General features: G+C 38.0%; 2 annotated features.

The window, feature by feature from the left end:
* Positions 669-1,546: an enhancer, noted in NCBI's record as "OCT4-NANOG-H3K27ac hESC enhancer chr3:30126861-30127738 (GRCh37/hg19 assembly coordinates)". NCBI's record gives its function as "activates a minimal SCP1, AML or CMV promoter by ChIP-STARR-seq in naive and primed H9 embryonic stem cells {active_cell/tissue: H9 hESC(naive and primed)}" and the evidence as "EXISTENCE:reporter gene assay evidence [ECO:0000049][PMID:30033119]".
* Positions 1,547-2,426: an enhancer, noted in NCBI's record as "OCT4-NANOG-H3K27ac hESC enhancer chr3:30125981-30126860 (GRCh37/hg19 assembly coordinates)". NCBI's record gives its function as "activates a minimal SCP1, AML or CMV promoter by ChIP-STARR-seq in naive and primed H9 embryonic stem cells {active_cell/tissue: H9 hESC(naive and primed)}" and the evidence as "EXISTENCE:reporter gene assay evidence [ECO:0000049][PMID:30033119]".

The following is an 8,975-nucleotide window of genomic DNA, read 5'->3' as shown; positions in this document are numbered from 1 at the left end:
GGTAGAGGAATAGGTATTTATGCCCTAGTCTAGCTCAGTGAATCTGCATTTTTACATAAATAATAGGGCAGAGGAAGGAACCAGATATGCATTTGCCTCAGGTGAGCAGAGGGATTACTTTTAGTTCTGTCAGTCCTTTGTCCCACCCCTGTGAAGATAAGCTATTAATTTATATTGTCAGTATAAAATTCAACAGAACTGTTTTAGGGTAAAGATTTTGAGGCCCACAAGGAATTTTCTTGTAGGCAAATTGTGAGAGAGGTATGCAGCTTTTTTTTTTTTTTTTTTTTAATCTTTGGAGCTATCTTATTAAGGAATAAAATGGGAGGCAGGTTTACCTGATGCAGTTCCTAGCTTGACTTTTCCCTTTGGCTCAGTGATTATGGGGTCCCAAAATTTATTTTCTTTTCACAATACATAAGCTCTATCTGATTTCTTCTTTAAAACTTTACTTGTGGATTTATTCAATGCAAAGTCTTGCATACTGATGAAATTTAGAGTTGAGAGACTGCAGGTTAACATTCAGAAAATTATTCTGTATAATAAAAGAGACACTAACCAGTTAATTTCAAACTTGGCAAGCCTATGATTGCCTAGTACTTCTCTGGATGCCTGTGTGTTTCTACTAATTCATAACATGGTAGAACATGGGCCAGAATGTGAGAGGAAAAAAATGATCTATTCTAACAGTTTCTAACTATCCAATCTTTTTTGAGAGAAAGTCTTCAAGAACCTAGCGTCAATTTTGTAAATTCAAAGAGTGGGCAAAAACATATATTGTAACTGAGAGTGTTGACGAGAAAAGAGTCAAACTCTGAAAAATATTTGAAGAGATTTATTCTGAGCCAAATATGAGTGACCATCACCCGTGACACAGCCCTCAGGAAGTCCTGAGAACATGTGCCCAAGGTGGTCAGGGCGCAGCTTGGTTTTATACATGTTAGGGAGGCATGAGACATCAATCAAATACATTTGAGAAATACATTGGTTTGGTCCAGAAAGGCGGGACAATTCGAAGTGGGGGGCTTCCAGGCTATAGGTAAATTTAAACATTTTCTGGTTGACAATTGGTTGAGTTTGTCTAAAGACCTGAGATCAATGGAAAGGAAATGTTTAGGTTAAGATGAAAGATTGTGGAAACCAGGGTTCTTTTGAAGTCTCATAGTGGCTGCTGTTAGAGACAATAGATGACAAACGTTTCCTATTCAGACCTTTAAAAGGTTCAAGACTCTCAGCTAATCTCTTCAGGATTGGGAGGGCCAGGAAGAAAAAGATCTAGCTATGTTAATAGAGATTCTTTACAGATGCAAATTTTCCTCCACAAAGGACAGCTTTGCAAAGGCCATTTCAAAATATGGCAAAGAAACATGTTTGGGGGTAAAATATTTTGATTTTCTCCTTTGTCACATGTTATGCCAGAGGCAGATTGGAAAGTCAGTCATGATATATATGGTTAAATAAAACCATCTGATGAGAATTTATGGTTTGTAAGGCATGACTTCCCAGACCCCTTAGATAGGAATGTGGGCAAGATAAGAAAAAATCAGAGCTTAGTCATCAGGACTACCCCCATTTTTCTAACAGATAGTTTATTTTCTCTCTATCTTTTTCCTCCTTTTCCCCACTTCCTATTTAGCCCTTTAGAAATGCAAATATAGCCTTTCACCTCCCCTTCACCAGGCATTCCCTACAGGTCAAGTTCTAACTCTGTGCTTAGGAGCCACAGAAAGGAACTCTCAGCCAGCAGGAGGTTTCCTGAAGAGATAACAGTCTATTTACAACCCAAAGTCTACCTGCCCAAGAAGAAGAAGAAAGTGTCAGCAGAACCAGCTGGGTAGATAGGGCACCAAGCTAACATGTGGACCCCTCATCTGCTCACTCCCCCTCCCACCATGGGCAGTTCATGTTAGGCACCCTTTAAAATTGCTCACTTTCGGCCCGGCGCAGTGGCTCACGCCTGTAATCCCAGCACTCTGGGAGGCCGAAGTGGGTGGATCACCTGAGGTCGGGAGTTTGAGACCAGCCTGACCAACATGGAGAAACCCCGTCTCTACTAAAAATACAAAAAATTAACCAGGCGTTGTGGCGCATGCCTGTAATCCCAGCTACTTAGGAGGCTGAGGCAGGGGAATCACTTGAACCCTGGAGGCAGAGGTTGCAGTGAGCTGAGATTGTGCCATTGCACTCCAGCCTGGGCAACAAGAGCGAAACTCCATCTCAAAAAAAAAAAAAAAAAAAAAAAAGCGCTCACTTTCTGCTTTGAAAGTGAAGTGGTGCCCTTAAAGGCAGGAAACCTGTACTTCTCCTGAGCTAGCTTTGGAATAAAAAGTCATTTTCTGTATAGCAGACCTTGCTCTTGTTAATTGAACTCCGTAAGCGGCGAGTTACTGAACCAGGGTTTCAGTTACAATATGACATGATTTATAGAAGACCAAAACCCCTCCCTCTTCCCAGGACCTATACTGTTTCTCTGAATATATTGCCATATTGTTCCCTTGACCATATAATGTTTCAAACATTTTATCCAGGGAGCTCTTATATGCAACAATTGTCACTTGGCAGAAATGAAGGATTGTGAATGAACAAAAAGTAAAAGAAGAAAAAGAAAACAAAATTGTTGAAGGGAGAAGTAGAAAAAAGTCTAAAATCTGGGGAACCATTAGAAAGCAGACTGCGTGACTGTCAAAGTCAAAGACTGACAAGTCAGGGAGTGACTTGGTCAAGGTTTAGGTGAAAGAGGAACTAAAAAATGATTTGGAGATGGTGAAAATATAATCTATTTCCATTTTGCTTAATTCTTACTTGATTTCTTAATTAGAACCAATAAGGGATGAATGTTGCTGTTTCTCCTAGATCTATATTAACATAAAGATACTTCTGGGCTGGACACAGTGGCTCATGCCTGTAACCCCAGCACTTTGGGAGGCTGAGGCGGGTGGATTGCTTGAGCCCAGGAGTTTGAGACCAGCCTGGGCAACATAGTGAGACCCCATCTCTACAAAAAATACAAAAATAAAAATCAGCCAAGTGTAGTGGCACATGTCTATAGTCCCAGCTACTCAGGAGGCTGAAGTGGGAGCACTGTTTGAGAGGTGGAGGTTGCAGTGGGGTATGACCATACCACTGCATTCCAGCCTGGATGTGAGAGTGAGACCTTGTCTCAAAAAAAAAAACAAAACAACAACAACAAAAAAACTTTGGTGTTCTGCCTAAGGGCATACAAAAACTTGGAGATTCCCTATAGAATTGTTTCTCCAGTTCCTTCTGGTGAGGCAGTGCTGGGATAACAGGGAACTGCACACTGGATAATAGGTTTACACTCTCTTCAGTGGCCACCCCGAATCAGGTATCTCAGCAAGCAGAAACCAACAGGAAGGTAAAAAACAAACTGTGTTTGCGGATGATGGCATAATACAGTCATATTGCCGCAGGCTCTCTTGTCCCTTTAAAAGAACAGCATCTCCTTTGCATCTACCATTTGGAGGGCACTCACCAATGGAGTAGTTTTATAGTGTGCTATTTTATTTTAAGAGTCACCCTAAATTGATTATTCAAACACAGCAGCGCATTAAGATTATTGCTGCACTGCTAGGGGAAAAACAAAGAAGAAGAAAAGGGACAAAGAAAAACATGTTCTGGCAGTTGGCAGAAAGCATGTCAATCCGATAGCAGAAGCTGCGACAGAGCAAAAGTGAAATATCTCTGCTTCTGTTAAGGAATAACATGTACAAAGAGTAGTCTTCTGAAGCAAACACATTGATAAACAGATGGCTCTGATCCTATCAGAAAAAATTCAACCAAGTAGTCACACTTTAGAACTGAAATACAGAGAGCTACTTGGGAGAAGAGGATGAGGGAAAGATAAAAATAAAACTCATAGCTCATTCTTAAGTCAGAGAAAACCCTTAATTAATCAGTTTTGGTTCTCGTGGTTCTTCATTCTCCTTTGAATAGTAAAACCTGGTCCTTCTGTGAGACACAAAAGACTCATCTACATAGAAAAGCCAGTTCGTTTCTCAGGTTCCTAAGTTCTGGTACCTGAAAGTAACTAGACCTTCTCCGGTCGTCCCCACACAAGCCAGCCTTAACCTGCTGCCTGCTGGGTAGGGTTTTTGCCGCTTTTCTCATCCCGCTGAACTATTTAGAGGATCGCAAGAGGAGATGAGTTTAAGAGGGACTTTTTCCACTCTCAGGGAAATCCTAGCCTTGATTTCTATGCCAGGCAAAATTCCAGTTTCTTTAGGGAAGACTCAATTTTTTGAGCCTGTAATAGCACTGTGGAAGAAATCTTGATATCTGACTTCTCACCTAAGATCTGCTAAGAACTAGTTATTCAACATTTTAAAAGCATGTGCACTTTGACATACCAATTCCACTTCTAGGAATTTATTCCTCAAGCATTCTTTCACACATGTACAAAATATCATTTGGACAATATTAAATGCTACATTTTAGGAAGAGCTAGAGTTTGTAAACAAGAAAATTTTAGCATTATGGGACTCGCTAAATAAGTTCTGGTACATCCATATACTGAAATATTATACAACCAATAAAGTGAATAAAGCTATTCCATACACAAGTGCCAGGTGTGTCCCACAAACCCTGGCCAATGGATTAAATGAGTACTCAGACACAGGCATGCAGTGTAAGAGAGCTAGGTGACTGCCTGGCTCTAGTGGCCAGAAACCAGCTCCAAGAAGCTGGAGCTGCTTGCTTTTATTCAGTGCAGGCACAATGCTGAAAACCTGGAGCAAACACAACCTGTAGGTAATTAACATTTATTGTTCCCCTTCAGGGAATGTCTCGTGCATGGGCGTGGATGATCAAAGGTCAGCTCTTGGTCAATGTAAGTAAACAAACCTGTTTAAGATAAATTTCCCTATACTCCCTTGTACCTACTCCTTGCCCTCTGCCTCAGGGTTATAGAACAGTTGCCTTCAGCTATTCTCCCCCAGGGCTCTGCAAAACTTTCTGACCTTTCCGAAGGTTTGCATCCTTTCCCTGTAGTTTTTCCCACCACTCTGACTGATCCCCCACATCACAAGAAATATTATTTCATGGGAAAGTGAAAGTGCCAAACAGTGAGTATGTTATAGTCCCTAGCATTTACGTTTGTACAATTATTTGTGGGAAAACACATACACACACACAAGAAACTAGTAATAGTGATTGTTTCTGGGGAAAACAATGTGTATGTTTTAGGTTTCAGACTTGGTATATTTTGAATACTTCATACTATTTAAAAATACAATAAAAACATGAAATAGAGTAAAATAATCACAATATTACTCTAAAAATCACTCACTAGGAAAGTATGTGAGATGATAGATATGTTATTCTGTTTCACTGTAGTAGCCATTTTACTATGTACATATATCCTATAACATGTTGTGACCTTCAAATATATACAGTAAAATTTATTTTAAATTAAATATATATTTATAATATTTTTATGTATGTATAACCATATATAGATTTTATGTGATTATGAATATAAGAAGCTAACACAAATTAGCCTAAACACAGCTTGAGGATGGTGTGGGGGATGAGTAAAGTAAGCAGAGAGAGATAAGCATAGGAAGGGAAAAGTAAACCAAGAAGAAAAAGAGAAAAGGTGTATACTTTAAATTTTTTTCACATTTATTCTATGAACACTTTTTTGGTTAAAAAATGTAGTTTATGTGCATATATGTCTAAAGAAATTGAAAAAAAAAGTTTGATCTATAGCTAATGGCTCGTATGAATGTCCATCCATGATAAACTGTTGTGTTTTTTTTTTTTAATTTGCCGAAGTGAAAAACAGTATTTTTGAATTTTGTGAAAATTCAAGCAAAAACTTATTTGTATGTGTGTATACATATTTCACCAGTATACATACATATATATATATATACACACATATATATACGTGTGTATATATATGTGTGTATGTATATATGTGTGTGTGTGTGTGTGTGTGTGTATATATGTATGTATGTATCCTCGCTATGACTTTTAAGGATGAAAGAATGAAAAAATACACATACTCAGCCATTGCCAGTGATCTTTTCAGTAGAATGTCATTGGAGAGAAGGATGGATGAAAAGGTGATTAGCTTTGCCTTTGTATATCTTTAGTTCACTTGTTGTAAACAAGAGTCTATCCCTTTCTTTTTGTGTGTTTGTTTTGAGACAGGATCTCATTCTGTTGCCCAGGCTGGAGTGCAGTGCTGTGGTGTGATCACAGCTCAGTGAAGCCTCGACCTCCCCGGCTCAACAGATCCTCCCATCTCAGTCTCAAAAGTGGCCTAGGTAAGACGATTTTTTTCTTTTGGAGATGGGGATCTCACTACATTGCTCAAGTTGGCCTTGAACTCTTGGGCTCAAGCAATCCTCTTGCCTCAGTCTCTTGAGTAGACGGGGCTATAGGTACATGCCGTCGTGTTTGGCTGATTTCTAAAATCACTTCCAACAGTCACCTTATGATTGCATTCTATTTCTTAAAATTAGTAAAAGAAGAACATTGGGATTTTGATAGAATATGCATTTGTCTCTGTTTGTCCTGATTTGGTTATGTGAAACATGTGCAGTTGGTGATGTTGGTTTCAAGTGGGCATTAGCATCAGAATGCTCTCAAATTCATCAGAATTTTGTGAATATATCAAAATTCCTTTTAAGGATAAGTACAGCAATATCCAAGAGTTCTTGTGGGTGGTCTGCCACTTTTTCTGCCCTCTAAAATGCTTTTCTGTCATTAATATCTAGAAATGATTACATCAGACAAAAATGTTTTACTAGATTAATCTAACTCCAAGTGGATTGTATTTTATTCAAAAAGGGTGAAATTCTATTGATTTCTTAATCTGGGAACTGATATTTTCCTTCTTGTGACTTCACAAATTTCGCCAAATCAAATGACCACAGATAAACCTGTTCTTCCCAAAAATGAGATTAAAATGGAAGACAGGTGCTATTAACTGCCTTATTTGGTGGTTAAGAGCAGAGGATTTTAGAGTAAAGCAAATTTGTGCTTTAATCTGATATTTACCACTTACATGTTAGGTGACCTTGATAGAGCTGAGTTATTTTATATCTCTAAACTTTAGTTACCTTATTTATATAAATGAGGAAAATACTCTTCCTTCATAGAATTGTCATTAGGATTCCATGATATAATATATGAAAGTCACAGGAAGATTAACTGAACTCAAAGTGCTATTATTATTGTTATTATTGACTGCTACCACTGCTCTTGCTACAATTGTAGTCATTATAGTCCATGTTGTAACTTCATAAATTTCACTAAAATTTTCTAGTATTTTTTAACAAATATATATTTATTAGATAATATAGTCATTTAGTATAGTATATAAATCTGACTATAAATGTTTTACATATAAACTGATGTATTCATGAGTATCTGTGCTATTCATATTACCATATAAATAATAAAATATTCTAGAAAATATACTGTTTATTATAAAAAAGATATTACACACATATATTATACATATAATGTATTCTTATATCATATATTTATATGAGAGAATGAGAGATGGGGAAATTGGCCTGCCATAGGTTCCTTTTTCTCTGCCGGAATCATCTTTCCCAGCCCCCATAGTTGCTGCTATCTATTTATTTTTCACACACTTGAATTTAAAAAGAGAGAGATGGAGAAGGGAAGGAGGGAGGAAAACAAGAAGAAGGGAAGAAGGGAGGGAGGGAGGGAGGAAGGAAAAATAAATATTGGCAAAAGTCAACATGTTTGGGCAGATAGTGATTTAAGTTGCTCTGAACTTCAGGTTTCAGGTCTCAGAAATGTGGATCCCTGAAGGAAAGTGTGAGTAAGACAGGGGAATTTAGGGTGAGCCTTGAGCTCTTCATCCCACAACACAAATGCTGCTGATGCACCTTTCACAGCAGATGGAGGAAAGCAGGGGCCTATTGGCATATTGATGTCATTGTCTACCAGTCTGACCTGCTCAGCCTTGACAAGCTGTTAACAGCTAGCTAGGAGGAAGTATCATGCATGCGGACTGACTGTTCCACTATTACTTCAGTTGGAATCTGGGCTGTCCAGATCATTTAAGAGCTGCAACAACCAGGGCTTGGCATGATATATCTAGGCCTAGTTGGGGCAGAAATAGGAGAAGGATGGGAGTGACAGCCAAGAGCCACGGTTTTGAAAGGGCAGAGAGAGGCCTTGCAGATTTGGCTCATTTTCCAATTTTAGAAAGAAATTACCCTACATATTTTTTTAGCCTGAAATTTGATAAGGTAATTTTTGTAGAACTGAAAGTAAGTCTCTGAAATTAAAAATATAAAAATCCAAGATTTAATTTTTATTCATAGATAATAGTAAAACAATGTTCAAGATTATGATTATCTGCCAATCAATATATACTGCTTCAAGTTCAAAATTATTTTTAGGTGCATCATCACCTGTGATATTCGTTACCACCCTATTACCCGTTAGTTCCCCTTACAGAAGTAGAAATTGAGGTTCAGATTATGCATGAGACTCAAAGTCATTAAATATGCAATAACTTCAAGATGAGGATTCTAAGAGACTAAGATCAAGAAGAGATATAATAATAATACAATTTATAGGACATTAAAAAGTTACTTCCTGCTCTGTTTCTTTGGTTGAATTCCCCCAGAAACAGAGTCTGAGACAAGGATTTAAGCACAAGTAGTTTATTTGGAAAGAGATTGTTGGAAGACATTTCTCCACAGGAGTCTCACATTTCCATACATCTTGTGAGCAGAGCCACTGTCTTTGATCTGGACTATCTTTTCAAGGTTGTTTATATAGCAAACAACCTTGGGAGATAGAGATAGTGTCTCCCTTCACAGAACAAGAATGCTTTTGGTTTATTTTGGTTTGGCTTGTCTTTTTACTTTCCAATATAGTAAAGATGTCTCACTTTGAAGGTTCATCTCCCATAACACGACCCGAATGTGCAGGTGTCACCTGGTTTTCTTGGTGTCACACTG

The sequence above is a fragment of the Homo sapiens genome, chromosome 3, assembly GCF_000001405.40.
Source record: "Homo sapiens chromosome 3, GRCh38.p14 Primary Assembly".
NCBI classification, from domain to species: Eukaryota; Metazoa; Chordata; class Mammalia; order Primates; family Hominidae; genus Homo; species Homo sapiens.
This window is presented reverse-complemented; position numbering and strand designations above follow the sequence as displayed.